A 16,050-nucleotide genomic window follows, 5' to 3' on the forward strand; every position below is an offset into this window, starting at 1 on the left:
CACCTGCGGCTGCCTCCTGTTTCCCCCTCCCCTGCTTCTGAGAAACCAGACCCCTCCCCCCACCAGAGTCTGAGGCTGGGCACCCAGAGGCTCTGGGCCAGGACAAGGCTCCAAGGTGTGGATGTTTGACATGGATGACAGGAAGCACGCTAGGTAAAGAGGCCAGGGAAGGACCAGGGAGGGAAGTGGCCTTAATGCTCAGTTTTCTTATCTGTAAAATGGGCACAAAACCAGTCTTCTAGGGCTGGGCTAGGGCAGAAACGACATCACAGTCAAGGCACCCTGAGAGCTCTAAGACACTCCACAGTGTCGTTGTTTGTTGAGGCAGGGGTGACACCCAGGGCTGGCTGGAGGGTGTGGCTGGGGGCTGTATCTAAGAGCCAATGTCCCTGGAGTTGGGGGCTCTCCTCTCCAGGTCTGAACAGGAAACTTTGTCAAAGGTTGAGTGGGTTATGCACATGTGTTTGCTTTTGGAGAGATATTCCATGGCTTTTGTCAGAATCTCAAGAGGCATCCCTGATCCCAAAGAGGCCAAAGCACCCCCGCCTCAGACTGTTCAACTTCCCCAGTCCTCTACCTGACCACGGCACACACGGTTTCTCTCCCACCCACCCGGGCCCACACTTCCGGGGGACAAGCACTAGTTACCCAGTCTTTGAAAGCCGAACTGCCCAAAGCCTTGGCCCTTGACAGAGCCTTGGTAGATGAAGGTGGCTCCGGAGGACTCTGACGAGACCTGTGATGGTGGGGAGCACAGAGAGCAGGTGGGAGGCTGCTGGAAGGATCTAGAACTCCTCTCTCATCATACACGCTGCCCAGCAGGTCACCCACTGACCTGCTGCTCTGACACACAGGGTTTGTTCTCTGCCCACACCTAGGCAAGGGTGGGTGTGACCGGGGAGCCCGGGGTGGGGCAGGGGCACCAGCTACATGTATGAGGTAGGAGGAAGATTTTATTTTCTACTGGTCAAATCACTTAATCTCTCTGTGCCTCAGTTTGTCATGTGCAAAATGAGAATAGTAACAGTACCTATGTCATAGGGTGGCTGTAAGGATTAAATGAGTTAATAAAGATGAAATACTTCAGAACACTTAATTTATAGGCCTTACATGCATGGTAGCTGTTATTACTGTGATGAAAAACCGCCTTTTGGAGCATTATGGAACACACAGAACCATGCTGAAAATGTCCCTTGCAGATTAAAGGTATTGGAGAGTTCGTCACAGTTCTAAGAGCTATTAATTTTTTAGGGGGCGTAGCTGGGGACATAACTCCTGCTACTGATGCTCATGTGACAGATGCAGACCCCCAAATGTGCAGTCTGGGGCCGCAGCGGCTGAGGGCATGCTGTGAGGATGCCTGTGCTCCTGGGTACTCCCAACCTATGCTCCATGGCTAGGAGCAGCCTCTGTCTGCCCTCCGCAGCTGTCCCCGCAAACACACCTTGCTGGCTATCAAAAGGCTCGACGCTTGTCTGGCGTCCTAGGCAGTAGCTCCAGCTGTTCCTGGCCCTCTGGATCCCCATCCTCATCTTCCCCTGGCCTGCACTGCTAGCTCCATGTCCCAACTTTGACCCTCCTGGATGGTGGAGTCTATTGTTCCTGCACAGCTTTTGGGCCACGATGATTGAAGCTGGCCCATACTTGGATTATGAAGGGGACCTACAGATACCCTTGGGCCTACCAAGGAACTACCTGTATGTGCCAGCCCCTGGAGAAGCCACTTGGTTCTCCTGATGTGTTTATAAAGCAAAGTCAACTATGCCACAGTCCTCCACCAGCTGGTCCTGTCCATGAGAATGCACTGTGACTCCCTAGCTCTCTGCTACTCTGGTCTACCATGACCTCTCGCTTCATTCTATCCTTTCTCTTCTAGCTCCAGCAATCCAAGACAGAGAAGTGGAGGACGTGGTAGGGGATGCTATGCTCAACTCCACTATGTGTGAAATAGGAAGGTATGGCCAGAGAAGTGTCACTGGAGATCCAGCTTCCACCTCAAGAAAGCCCTAGAATAGAATGTCTTTTCCACAAGGGAATGCAAGAAAGTCCTATCCCTCTGCCATGTCCTGGTCTCTCAAGCTGTGTTAATCACTCACAATCTGCATCCTCAAGTGTGAGGAGAAGTTCAATGTAGTCATGTGAGACTCACTGCCTTCTTCCAGCTCCCACCCACCACATTAATACCTTCAACTAGCCTGAATTCCCTCTGCCCCCAACCTCCATCCCTTGCTTTCTGTTCAAACAACAGAACTTACTCCAACTCTCTTGAATGTGGTGAACCTCTGGACTCTGAGTCTTCTGTCTTTTAAAATCTTTTCCTTTGCCTATTTCATTAGCAGATGAGGATCCTCTTGCTGCTCCTAGGCAGGGCCCCACAGAAAACCTCCTCCCAAGTTGCCAGATTGATCCTAGGGGTTTGCACACCCTTTTGTCCTCCTCTTCCCTGCCAGTGATCTGGGAGTCAGGGGAGGAGGTGAGTTTGCTGAACTTACATGGCCATCTAAAGCCCAGTGATCATCTTTGAACTTATTCATAAAGATCTCCACAGGCCCTGTAATCTGGTACACCTGGAGTAGGAGATGAAAATCTTCTTTCTTGTAAGTTCCTGGGAAATAAAGTTCAGGTGTTACACATGAAAGATATGGGAAAATTTCAAAACTCAAATTTGTGGGTTTGTGGGTGTAAGTTTCTGGATGGAATTTCATGTGTAGATGTTGATATAAACATTCTCCACATCCCTTTAAGTCGTAAGTGTAGTGTTGAGTGTGGGTTTGTGTAGGCTGAACGTGGTTATATGCAAGAATTATTAATATATGCATATGTATGTTAATAATTGGATTACCGGGTTGAGGTTGTGATGCTATTGACACAGGCATGTGTGAGAATATGATTTTGTCTTTTAATCTGTCCACTAATGCATAGATAGTTCAATGGGTGCAATAGTTCATGAGGTCCTGGGCATGGGAGCATGTGAACATGTCTATTATCATGTGTGAAATGAGCAAATGTCATCCTGCAGTTGCGTAGGTGTGTGCACGTATGAATGCGTAGATAGGATTTTATGTGGGGTTGTGCATTAATATGTTCATTCACTCACACATTTGCTTATCTATCCATCTATTCAACAAACACTTATTTTCTAAGGTACTTACTTTTTCTGATTATAGAAAGATTGAAAATTGGGAAAATTTTAGAAAATGCTGAGATGCATGAAGAAAAAATGATCTCTCCTGATCTTACTAAGAAATAACCACGTTACTGTAAATTATTCCTGTTTTCTTTCTTATGAATGTAATATTTTCCTTTAAAACACTGGAGTCATATTTTAAATACATTATAATGAATGCATTTCCCTCAACACTGGCATAATATTTCATCTAGTAGATATACTATCATTAAAATATCCATTTCTCTATTTTAGGGAAATTTTCTAGTTCCAGTTTTTATATACTACAAATGGCCTTGTAATGGGAACAGCCTTTATTCATAAATGTTTGACTCCCTCCGTATCTTCTTATGATAAAAATTGTTAGAAATGTAATTAATGGGTCCAATCATTTTCAAGGATCTTGACACAAATCGCCAAATTGTTTTCCCAGAATGGTACCATTTTAGAATTTGGCGTTCATGGCTGAACCCGACCTGCACTAAGTGTTATTGTTTAAAAACACTCTGAGTTGATGGTGTAAGTGGAAAATGACATTTTGAGTTTACTTTTTTTTTGATGATTGCTGAAAAATATTTTTTCTTTTGTTTGTTGACTGATTGTACTTGGGATCCTGGGAAGTCTCTGCCCCTATTTTTGGTTCAGTTTAGGGATATCAGTCTTTTCTCTTTGTTCATAAGAGTTCTTTATGTATTCAGGTTATTAATATTTGCCATTTAAACATTTCCCTTTAGTCCACAGTGCTTTATCATGTAAAGATGAATAGACACTTCCTCTTCCCTGACCACCAGACAAGTCTGAGCCTTGCATGACAGTATGATGCAATGCCATTAGGCTCATCCTTGCCAAGGGTGTGTGCCCATCCATCCTCCCGGCTTTCATAGAGGGGCCTGCTCCTTACCAGCCAAGTGCAGCTCCACGCCACTGTGGTCGATCATGGTGGCATTGACCTTGCTGTTGGCAACTTGGAAGCCAGTCACTCTGAGCATGGCTGGCTGCTTCTTCCCCTGGTATTCATAGGCCCCTTTCCACAGGGAATTCTTGGCAAAAACATCCCCAGGAACTAGAGGAATTGAGAAATAGATGTGAGAGGGACTTTGTGTGTGCTGCCAGAATTGGGGTAGCCTGATGACTGATCCCAGCCCACTCACTGGGATTGTTTCCTTTCCCCAATGTCTACCATGTGAGGAAGGTGGTAGAATGCTCTGGCCTCTTCTCGTCTTGTGTCTCAGAGTGGATGGATAGAGGGAACTGATAAATATCCACTCCCATGTTCATCGCAGCATCATTCACAATGTCCAAGATAGGGAAACAACCCAAGTGTCCGTGAATGAATGAACAAATAAAGAAAAGGGTATATATACATACACTATGGAATACTAGACAGCTTTTAAAAAGAAGGAAATTCTTTCATTTGCAGCAACATGTATGAACTGGAGGACATTATGTTAAGTGGAATAAGCCAGGCACACAAAGATAAATATCATATGATCTCACTTATATATGGAATCTAAAAAAGTTGAACTCATTGGAGTAGAGAGTAGAATGATGGTTACAGAGGCTGGGGCAGAGTGGAGGGTGATGGGGAGATGGTCAAAGGGTACAAAGTTTCCATTAGACTGGAGATATGAGTTTTGGTGATCTACTGCATGGCATAGTGACTATAGTTAATAAGAATGTATTGTACATTTCAAAATTGCTGAAAGAGTAGTTTTTTCGTTGAGATGGAGTTTTGCTATTGTTGCCCAGGCTGGAGTGCAATGGTGTGATCTCGGCTCACTGCAACCTCTGCCTCCCAGGTTCAAGCAATTCTCCTGCCTTAGCCTCCCAAGTAGCTGGGATTACAGGCATGCACCACCATGCCCGGCTAATTTTGTATTTTTAGTAGAGATGAGGTTTCACCATGTTGGTCAGGCTGGTCTCGAACTCCTGACCTCAGGTGATCCGCCCACCTTGGCCTCCCAAAGCGCTGGGATTACAGGTGTGAGCCACCACACCCGGCCAAAAGAGTAGATTTTAAATGTTCTCATCACAAAAAAATGATAATTAGGTGAGATGATGGGTATGTTAATTAGCTTGATTTATTTATTCCATAATGTATACATATAGAATAACATCACATTGTACTCTATAAATATGTTTATTATTTGTCAATTAAAATTAAAATATTTAAAAAGATATAGAGAGGGAACTAGAAAGGAGTGACAGAAGAAGGGAGGAGAAAAGGAAAGGTGTTTAAAAGATGGAGAAATGGAAGAGGGGAGAAGAGAGAGAAAACTGACATGTCAGTATAGCATGGTGAATTGGAACATGGGCAAATGAAGTCAGACAGACCCAGAGTCTAATCTTAGCTCTGTCACTTATCAGTTGTCTGATCATGTGCAAAAGCCTTGACTTTCTCCCTGTATAGGCTATGCCTGTATTCCTATACATGGTGGCCATCCCATCTACCTTATCAGGGTTATTCTAGGGGTTAAATGACTAATGTTGTAAATTGTATGTTACATGATGTTGCATGTGTAAAAGCACCTAATCAGTGATAGCTACTAAAATTGTCATTTATCCTTGTAATCATTCTCTATGGCAATTATTATGATCTCTATTTTACTGAAGCTTAAGAGGCGAAGCTCATTCGTCCAAGGACACAGCTGGTCAGTGACCAAAATGGTACTCAAATTGAGTTTCTGATGCCAAATCTAGCCTCGTTTCCTGCATAATACACATGTTAATGTGGTAAATAAAAGTAGAAGGTTCATGAAAGGATGTGATAGTCTCTAAGAATTTGGTATTGGTCAGGCCACATCTGCAGTCTGTGTCCAGTTCTGGATGTGATACTTGGAAAGACCCCAGACCTATCTTAAACTGTAACCATTTCCAGGAAGCTCCCTGGGTATGGCCTGGGTCAATGTGTTTGTATGACCACACACTGGCCAGTCCTATGCCAGGAGGGGCTGTAGTAATCAACAGTTCCAGAGCTTCCAGTTGGAAGTTGCTGGCTCTTTCTTCCAGATGAAGTTTCTGCTTCCTTCAGGCTCACTTTCTTCTGAAGTCTGCCTGGGCTGGGGAGGTGGGTAGGGAAAGCCATCCAGATTTATAGATAGTTTTCATGCCCTTCCTCTAGGCACTCAGCAACTCTCAGCAACACGAGTTTTCTGGCTAACTGTGTGAAAAAAGTAACACCAGTTTCTTGAGCCAATGATCTGGACCATACGTACTCAAGGCTTGGGTGAGCGGTGGCTCCCGGGCAGTGTTGATGGGTCTCCCACTGGGCCGGACCTCTGCTGGGGAAAAAGAGTGGAAGAAAACAGGTTCAGCTTCTGGTTCACACTCTGTTGGAAAAATAATGACCACCTGTCTGACCTTAGGTCAATGGGTTCTTTGAGATCTTGCTTTCCCCTTATTTTTTTTAGACCAGGAGGTAGACTGCTTTGATGCTCTAATGATGCTATGGATCCCTCTCAGAATAAAAAATACAAAGAATTACAGAGGAAGTCCATTTTATTAGTTGGAGTTCTTACAATATTAGACAAGACATTAGGATATAGTGGTATATATGATTCTTTATTACTGCATTAAATAACAGGATCTAGCAGTGAGTCAAGAAATAACCATAATCTTGAAGTAGTCAGGAACATGAACAATATTCATGATATTGGTAGCAACTGGAATATATACAAAAGTCTTTTCAATTTCTACTGGTGACAAAGTCACAGGTGCTAACACTCCTAAGGGTTGTTGTCTACATTCCAAATTAAAGGAGAGGCTACATTTCAGTAAGAAGTAAAGGAATAAAAGGTGTATATTTTCCCATCCAAGTGCACAGACTCCCTGAATGTCCTCATTGAAAACTTTGCGGAGGCTGAGGCAGGAGAATGGTGTGAACCTGGGAGGCGGAGCTTGCAGTGAGCCAAGATCATGCCACTGCACTCCAGCCTGGGTGACGGAGTGAGACTCTGTCTCAAAAAAAAAAAAAAAAAAAAAAAGTCCTGCCCTCGACTTTGCTTTTCTTCCAGATGCCTCGCATGAAGGAAGAACTTCTACCCATCAACGGTGAACTCTGTGAGTCCTGGTGGGGGTTGCAGAGGAGCACCTTCCTCCCTTGGAATGATGAGATTAAGACCAAGAAGCCCTCACAGGCAAAGCAAAGGCAAAAGCTTTGGGCCTGGGCCAGACAGCCAAGGTTCAGGTCCCAGCAGTGCCACTTAATGACTGCGTGACCTTGACTAGTAACTTCACCACTCAGAGTCTTTGCCTCCTCATTTGAAACCTGGAAAAAACTGAAACATACCTCACAGGTCTATGCTGAATAAATGAGGTTATGAACAGGAAAGTCATGACCAGTAAGTATTAATGTCTTTTCTTCTTTTGCAGAGAAACAATAGAAAATCTGCCTTGTCGCCATTAAGGGCAGACTCCCCACTGTCTGCCTTGGCGGGGAGCACAGCTTTAGCAAATCTCCTTCAACTCTGGAGGTCAGCCTATGCCTCAGTACACAGAATGCTGTGGAGAAAGTTTCTGCAGTGACTCAATGCAAGTGTACTTCTGAACAAAATGCTTTATCGTCTTAGGTTTCATAAGATGAATGGAGCAAAGAAGGAGAAAGCATCTTATGTGCGAGGTGCTGTGATAGGCACTTCTTCATTTCCTCCTGCTCTTGAAACTCTGAAGTAGAGATTATTTTCCCCATTTTATAGCACAGAAACTTTTTGAGAGGCAGAGAAATGAAAGGGCTTGCTCAAGATCATACAGTAATGGGTTGAATTCAGCTGCCTCTAAAACATTATATATTTTTAAATAAAAGTAGCTATAATAACAGATAAAAATATTTAAGAATAAATGTAACCAAAGAAATGCAAGACTTGTACACTGAAAAATATAAAGCATCATTGAAAGAAATTAATTATCTAAATAAATGGAAAGACATCACATGTTCATGGTTTGGAAACCTTAATATTGTTCAGATGGCAATACTCCCCAAATTGATCTACAGGTTCAATGCAATTTCTGCCAAAATTCCAGCTCTCTAGTTTGCAGAAATTGACAAGCCAATCTTAAAATCTGTATAGAAACAAAAGGCAAAACAATAGGCAAACAGTCTTAAAAAAGAACAAAGTTGGATAATTGATACGTCCCAATATTTTTTGTTTTCTTTCATTTAAAACAATTTATTTTTATTTAGAGACAAAGTCTTGCTCTGTTATCCAGGCTGGAGTGCAGTGGTGTAATCATAGCTCACTGTAACCTCCAAATCCTGGGCTCAAGTGAACCTCCTACCTCAGCCTTCTGAATAGCTAAGACTACAGGCATACACCACCACTCCTGGCTAATTTCTTTACTTTTATTTTTTTGTAGACATGTAGTCTCCCTAGGGTGCCCAGACTGGGACACTTGCCAATTTGAAAACCTACTACAAAGCTAAAGTAATCAGGGCTGGGTGGTAATGGCATAAAGAGAGTCATAGAGATCAATGGAATAGAATAGAGAATCCAGATATAAACTCATACATTTATGGTCAAATGATTTTTGACGGGAGTGTCAAGACAATTCAACAGGGAAAGAATAGTCTTGCCAACAAATGGTGCTGGAACAACTGGATAGCCACATAAAAAAGAATGAGTTTGGATTCTAACCTAATATCATAAAAAATTAATTCAAAATGGATCAAAGACATAAATCTAAGAAGTAAAACTAGAAAACTCTAAGAATAAAACATAGGCATAAATCTTTGTGACCTTGGATGTATCACAGTTTCTTAGATATGACAACAAAAGCATATGCAACCCCCAAAATAGAAAAGTTAGATTTTATCAAAATTAAAGACACTGGTGCTTCAGAGAACACCAACAAGAGAGCGAAAAGACACCCCGTGAAATGGGAAAAAATTTGCAAATCATGTACCTTATAAAGGCCTTGTATTTTAGATAGAGAAAGAACACTTTCAACTCAACAATAAAAAGATAAGTCAGTAAAAAATGGACAAAGGATTTGAATAGACATTTCTCTAAGGAAGACATACACATAAAAAAGTGCTGAGCACCATTAGCCATTAAGGAAATATAAATCATTTTTGCACAATGATACAGGCAACAAAAGCAAAAGTAGACAAATGAGATTACATCAAACTGAAAAGCTTCTGCACAGCAAAGGAAACAATCAACAGAGTGAAGAGGCAACCTGTGGAATGGGAGAAATTGTTTGCAAACCACACATCTGGTAAGAGATTAACATCTAAGGAACATATAGAAGGAACTAAAACAACTCGATAGCAAGAAAATAGATAACCTGATTTAAAAACAGGCAAAGGACCTGAATAGACATTTCTGAAAAGAAGACATACAAATGGCCAACAGGTATATGAAAAATGCTCAGCATCACTAACCATCAGGGAAATGCAAGTGAAACCCACAATGAGATATCACCTCCTACCTGTTAGAAGGACTATTATAAATAAGATTAAAGATAACAAGTGTTGGTAAGGAGGTGGAGAAAAGGAAACTCTTGCACATTGTTAGTGGGAATTTAAGTTAATGTAACCATTATGGAAAACGTATGAAGGTTCCTCAAAAAATTAAAAATAGAACTACCATATGATACAGCAATACCATTATGGAGTATATATCCAAAGGAAACAAAATCAGTAAGTCAAAGAGATATCTGCACTCTCATGTTTATTGAGGCATTATTCATAATAGCCAAGATACGGAAACAACCTAAGTGTCCATCAGTGGATGAATGGATAAAGAAAACATGGAATATATACACAATGGAATACTATGCAGCCTTAAAAAAGAAAGAAATTCTGCCATTTGTGACCACAGGGATAACCTGGAGGACATTATGTTAAGTGAAATAAGCCAGGTACGGTAAGACAAATACTGCACAATCTCACTTATCTGTGGAATCTAAAGTAATTGAACTAATTAATAGAAGTAGAGAGTAGAATAGTGGATACCAGGGGCTAGGGTGGGGTGGTACTGGGGGGTTGGAATTGGAAAGATGTTGGCCAAAGGGCACAGAATTTCAGTTAGACAGGGAATAAGTTCAAGATCTCTTGTACATCATGGTGACCATAGTTAATAACAATGCACTGTGTACTTGAAAATTACTGAGAGTAGATTTTGTGTTCTTACCACAAAAAATGGCAAGTATATGAAGTTAATGGATATGTTAATTAACATGACTTTGCCACTCCACAATGTATACATATATCAAAACATCATGCTGTACACTCTACATATATACAACTTTTATTTGTCAATTAAAAAATAATTGGATGAAAATTCAAACAAACAATAAAAAACACCACAATGAGATACCACTTTATACCCACTGATCATGGATACACTAAAACAGGATGGACAAGTGTGGGGAAGGATGTCGAGAAATTGGACCCTGATGCATTGCTGGTGGGAATAACATGGTGCAAGAGTTTTGGAAAACTTTGGCAATTCCTCAAAATATTACACATAGAGTTACTGTTTTCCTAGATATGTCCCCAGGAGAACTGAAAACATATTAAAACAAAACATGTACATGTATGTTCACAGAAGTATTATTTGTAATAGCCAAAAAGTGGAAACAGCCTAAACAGCCATCAACAGGTGAATGGATAAACAAAAAGTGATGTCCATATGATGAGATATGATTCACGCATAAGAAGGAAAGAAATTCCGACAGATGCCACAACATGGTTAAATCTTGAAAACATTATGCTAAGGGAAATAAGCCAGACACAAAAGAACAAATATTGTATGATTCCACTAACATGAGGTACTTAGAATAGGCAAATTTACAGAAGCAGGAAGTATGATAGCAGTTACTATGGGCTAAGAGAAGGGGGAAATGGGCAGTTATTGTTTAATGGGTATGGAGTTTCTGTTCGAGATAATGAAAAAATTCTGGAAATGGATAGTGGTGATGGCTGTGCAATATCATAAACATAACTAATGCCACTGAATTGTACACTTAAAATTGTATATTATGTATATTCTATCACAATAAAAACTTAAATGTACTTTAATAAATGTACTTTATATCACTACTGTATGTGGAAAACAAAAGAAATTTCCAAGTGATACCATGAAAATAAAACACCGTTAGTAAGTTCTAGCTCTGATATAGTCTCTGACCCTGAAGGCTTCCCTCTGAGTGGCAGGATAGCAAAATAGTCATAGATCCTAAAGTTAGACCATCAGGGTATAGATCTTCAGCACTTAACCTTTCTCAGCTGGGGACCTTGGACACATTAATTAACTTCTCTATGCCCTAGTTTCCTCATATATTAAATAGCCTCATAGGATCTTGTGAAGATTAAATGAGTTGAAACATACAAAGCATTTAGCACAATGCCTGGTATCTGGTGAGGTGAGTGCCTATCAGAGAGTTTAATGCTATTCCAGCACTGAACTAATCGTTTAACCTTAATCCTTTCCCTCAAGACTGGACTCAGACATCACCTTCTCCAGGAAGTCCTCCCTGACTTCTCCTTTCCCCCACTTTAGTGCCCTTCCTCCTCATTCCTACAGCATTTGGCACATCTCCATGTTCCTCCAAGTACTCCAAATATAAAATCTGATAACGTGTCTGTCTTCCACATGGCAGGGTTGTGTCTTTCCCCTCTGAATCCCTCATGCCTAGCGCAAGCATGGGGCCACATGAACTCTCAATAAATAGAGAACGAGTGAATGAAGAAGAGGGGAAGGGAGGTCTGGGACATCCTGGTAACCCCAAGGGACCTACAGGCGGGTGCTGTTTTATCAAGGGTGCAATATGTGTAATGCGTCACTCCAGTTTGGTGGAAGAAAGCACTTTCCTCTGCCTGATGATGAAATGTGATCCTGTGAGTGTTTCAGCCCAGGCAAAAGGGGCAACCCTTGGGGTGGGTTGAGTATGCACCTTTTTAGACCGCTCTGCTTTGCTCTTCTAGACTCAAAACCTTAGAAAATCAGAAGCGGGATCCAGCTCCTTGAAACGCAATTCCTTCCTTCTCTTTTGCCCTCTTTCAGCTCAAGTTCAGCCAGCACTTTCAGCCTCCCGCCCTGGAGAGCTTCCCCGAGCAGGCACACTCACCCAGGCAGATGGGCGGCTTGCCTGTCCAGCTGCCATCCGCCTTGCAGGTGCGGTGCTCGGAGCCACCCTTGAGGGAGAAGCCCTCCTGGCAGGAGTAGATGAGCGTGTAGCCCATGGAGGGCAAATCCAGGGCCCCGACGTTGGCATGCGTTGGCGTCTCTGGCTGCCTGCAGTGGTGGGCTGGATGAGAGGAAAGACCCTGTTGGACTGGAGGAGATTAGGGGCTTCAGGGGCCCTTTCGACCATTCCCCTGTTCCTAGATAGAATATCCTCTTCCTTTCCCTTCCAGTCCCTTTCATGCCAAGCATCCCCCTCCCTAATCCTCCACCCTAACCCAAGCTCTGTGTCTAGAGGAATGGCCAAGATGGAGATCATGTGGATATCGGCTTGGTTGACTCTGAGTTGGGGGAACTTAAGCCTGCAGCACTTCCTGAGGGGTAAAGGAGTAACTGGGTCAAAAGCTTGATATCTCCATCCTGAGGCCTGGCCTTGCAGTTGTTAGTTTTTGCTGCTGCCACTGGATAGTTTTTTCTTTGCTAAGGCATAGGGATTGCCTTCCAATATCAGAAAGGCTTTTGTGTGGAAGTCTTCTGTGAGGCCCCAAAGTGTAAGGACTACAAAGAGACCGATGTCGGTTCGCATGGGGAGTTGTGAACTCCCTGTCATTCAGAGCATTCAAACATGACCCAGATGCCCAGCTGGGGCAAGAGGAATTTTCTTGGGATGTGGGTGAAGTCTGCACTCACGGACACAGTCAGGTGGGGTTCCACTCCAGGTCAGGTTTGGGAGGCAGGTCCTGGTGGTGGAGCCCTGAAGCAGGTAGCCTTTTTGACAACGGAAGAGGACTGTGCTTCCAACCTGCGGCAAGATACAAAGTCCCATCAGCCCCTTCCTTTCAGCGGTGCTTCCTACGTCTGTCCCTTGACCACTTTCACATGGCCCAACTCCTCCCGCACTGTTGCCTGCAAAACTCTTTTTCTGATTCTCCGCCTGGTTAAATTTTCTTCTTCCTTTGAGGCAGTTGATAGGATGCCTCCTCCACAAGGCCTCATCTAATACCCTGAACAAAGTTGTAATATTACACTCTGTTGTGGACACGGTGGCTGATTCAGAGTCAGAAGACCCTGGATCCGAGTTCTGGCTTCTGCATTTACTCAGGGCAGGCTGCATGGAACTCTGTAAACCTTAGTCTTCCTAAGGATACAGTGGGGATGACCATCCTTGCCACAATCACACTGGAATGTTGTGACACTCAAATGTGATGGCGGATTTGACAGCATTTTACAAAATGTGAAGAAGAGTGCAAATTAAATATTGTGTGTGTGTTCCTTTCCTCAATGAAATTGCAAATTCTTTAAGGATGGGAGACTTGTCTTTACAGATATGGCCCCCATAGAATCTGTTGAACGAACTGCCACCCTCCCTCCCTGCTCTGCTCAGTTATGTTCCCTACCTTAACCCTCCACCAGCCCCTCACTGTACAACTCGACACCCCGCAACCACGGGCTCCATCTCTCCCTACCCAATCCACTTGGTGTAATGCGGCTAGATCTGTTTCCTATACTGCAACTCGGATTATACTACTTCCCAGTTCAAACACTTATGTGTCCCTATTACCTACTGGAGCATGTGCAAATGCAATGTGTAACTCTTAAATTCCACTCCCTTCTTCCATGCTGAACACTTTTTTGTCTTGGATTTCATCATTTGACTTAGCAAATGGCACCTTTATCCATGCAGTTGTGCAAATAAAAAACCTCAAGTCATCTTTGATCCCTTCGACCCCACAATCCAACCCATCAATGAGTCCTCTTGGTTCTGCCTACAAAATGTATCCCGAACAAGCGTTCAGGATCACTTCTCACCTTCTTTTTCCCTGGAGTCATGACAACAGTGTCCTCCTTGCCTAAGTGCATCTATTCTCAACTCCCTGATATTCATTCTCTACTCAGCAGCCTGAGTAATATTTCAAATGAAGAATCAGATTGTGTCACCTTCAAATGGCATTTTAGATAAAATCCAAAATACTTATCATGGCTTCAAGGCCCTGCATGACCTGTCCCATGCTGCCGCCTTTGCAAAAATTATGTGATATCCGACATACACAAAATAATATATGGAACACATATAAAGTATAATAATAAAATGGATATTTTAGATTGAATCCACCATGCAACTTAAGAGCTATGGACATGGTTGTAATGTTCTAGGGGCTCTTTCCCTGCTGTGTTCCTCAACACCCCTCCGTAGTAATGGCTGTCTTGAAATTTGTGTTAATTTCCTTGCCTTGTTAAAAAACAATCCTATCACATATGTGCATACATACCTCTAAACAATTTAGTAAGTTTTTGCTGGTTTTAATATTTGTAAAAGTAGTGTCATGCCACCTTTGTCACTTGATAGTATGTTTCTAAGATTCATCCATGTCATGCAGAGCTGTAATTCATTCATTTTCTTTGCTGTATAATAATCCATCACGTGACTATACCCACAAATTTCCTGTTTCTTGGTGACATGTGCAAGAGTGCCTCTGGGATATGTTTGCAGAGGTGGAACTTTTGGGTCATAGAGTGTGTGAATGTTTAACTTTACACACCAGGACCAAGCTGTTTTCCAACCTAGCCTCACTCTTGACTACATTTCCTTATCCTCCCTCACGGGGCTGCAGACTTGCTAGCTGGCCTACTTTCCAGGCCCCCAGGCTGCTAAGCACTTCCCTCAGCACTCCTTTGCACCAGCCCTTCGTTCAGCCAGGAATGTCACCCTGCTCTGCACAGGGCTAGCCCTTCTCATCATGGAGGCCGTAGTTCAAATGTCACCCTTCCCTAACCACCTTTCCTAAAATGGTAACCCACCCCGTTCACACCCCTTTATATCAATCACCGTGTCGTGTCTACTGCTCTCAGAAGCTAGCTCGTTTATTTATTTATCATCTTCAGCCAGGCAGCTCCCTTCAAACAGGCACCCAGTCTGTCCTGTTCCCACTGTATTCCTAGCTCCTAGAACAGTTCAGGGCCATAAGCATGTGCCGAGTGAGTACAGACTAAGTGAATAAGTCACATTACTTGACTAGATCCCAGCCTGTCATGTCCAGGTGAGTCCGATATTTTCCTGGGCAAGTCCTGGACTCCACCTAATTGTCCTGCCTTGAACACACCCATTCTTCCTTTTCTTTTCTCTTCTTTTTTTTCTGAGACCGAGTCTCGCTCTGTTGCCCAGGCTGGAGTGCAGTGGTGCGATCTTGGCTCACTGCAAGCTCCGCCTCCTGGGTCCACGCCATTCTCCTGCCTCAGCCTCCCGAGTAGCTGGGACTACAGGCGCCCGCCACCATGCCCGGCTAATGTTTTGTATTTTTAGTAGAGACGGGGTTTCACCATATTAGCCAGGATGGCCTCGATCTCCTGACCTCATGATCCACCCGCCTTGGCTTCCCAAAGTGCTGGGATTACAGGCGTGAGCCACCGCACCCGGCCATCCTTTTCTCTGTTCAATGTGTCACAACCCAGACTGTCCAGGTTCTCTCCTCCCAAAGCTCATCTGAGGTGTGTCCGCAGGGCCTGTGTCCTGGTGGGCCAGGCATGCCAACAGGCCTGCCTCCTGTGTGGCACATGCTCGTTGCCACTGTGCATGAGCCCAGTGTCTGTGGGTGGGGTGGGCACCGTGAGGACAGAGGTCTCACTCATTTCCGTATTTCCACAACCACCCTGCCTGGGGTTGCCGGGAAGTGTTCATGGAACTGCACGCCATCTGTCCTTCCTCATCAGTTTCTCTGACGGATGTTAGGGTCCTGCTGTCTCTGCAGGGTGCTCCCATGG

The 16,050-nt window shown here is 43.5% G+C and overlaps 1 protein-coding gene across 9 annotated transcripts in view; it reads right to left on the reverse strand.

Moving 5' to 3' along the window:
- CSMD2 (CUB and Sushi multiple domains 2) overlaps positions 1-16,050 on the reverse strand; it is a 651,845-nt gene that overhangs the window by 6,817 nt on the left and 628,978 nt on the right. For 4 of the 9 annotated variants that reach the window (XM_047443685.1, NM_052896.5, XM_047443642.1 and 1 more), the window contains 6 exons: positions 12,982-13,093; positions 12,236-12,415; positions 6,382-6,444; positions 4,068-4,229; positions 2,493-2,605; positions 649-736 (listed from right to left, as the gene is read on the reverse strand). In XM_047443685.1, the coding sequence (XP_047299641.1) occupies positions 649-736; positions 2,493-2,605; positions 4,068-4,229; positions 6,382-6,444; positions 12,236-12,415; positions 12,982-13,093 (718 nt within the window). Of the gene's footprint in view, positions 1-648; positions 737-2,255; positions 2,606-4,067; positions 4,230-6,381; positions 6,448-12,235; positions 12,416-12,981; positions 13,094-16,050 lie in introns of those variants that run through there. The other 5 variants (XM_047443656.1, XM_047443666.1, XM_047443607.1 and 2 more) reach the window with 2 other exon arrangements.

Source organism: Homo sapiens, chromosome 1 (genome assembly GCF_000001405.40).
Source record: "Homo sapiens chromosome 1, GRCh38.p14 Primary Assembly".
In the NCBI taxonomy this organism is placed as follows: domain Eukaryota; kingdom Metazoa; phylum Chordata; class Mammalia; order Primates; family Hominidae; genus Homo; species Homo sapiens.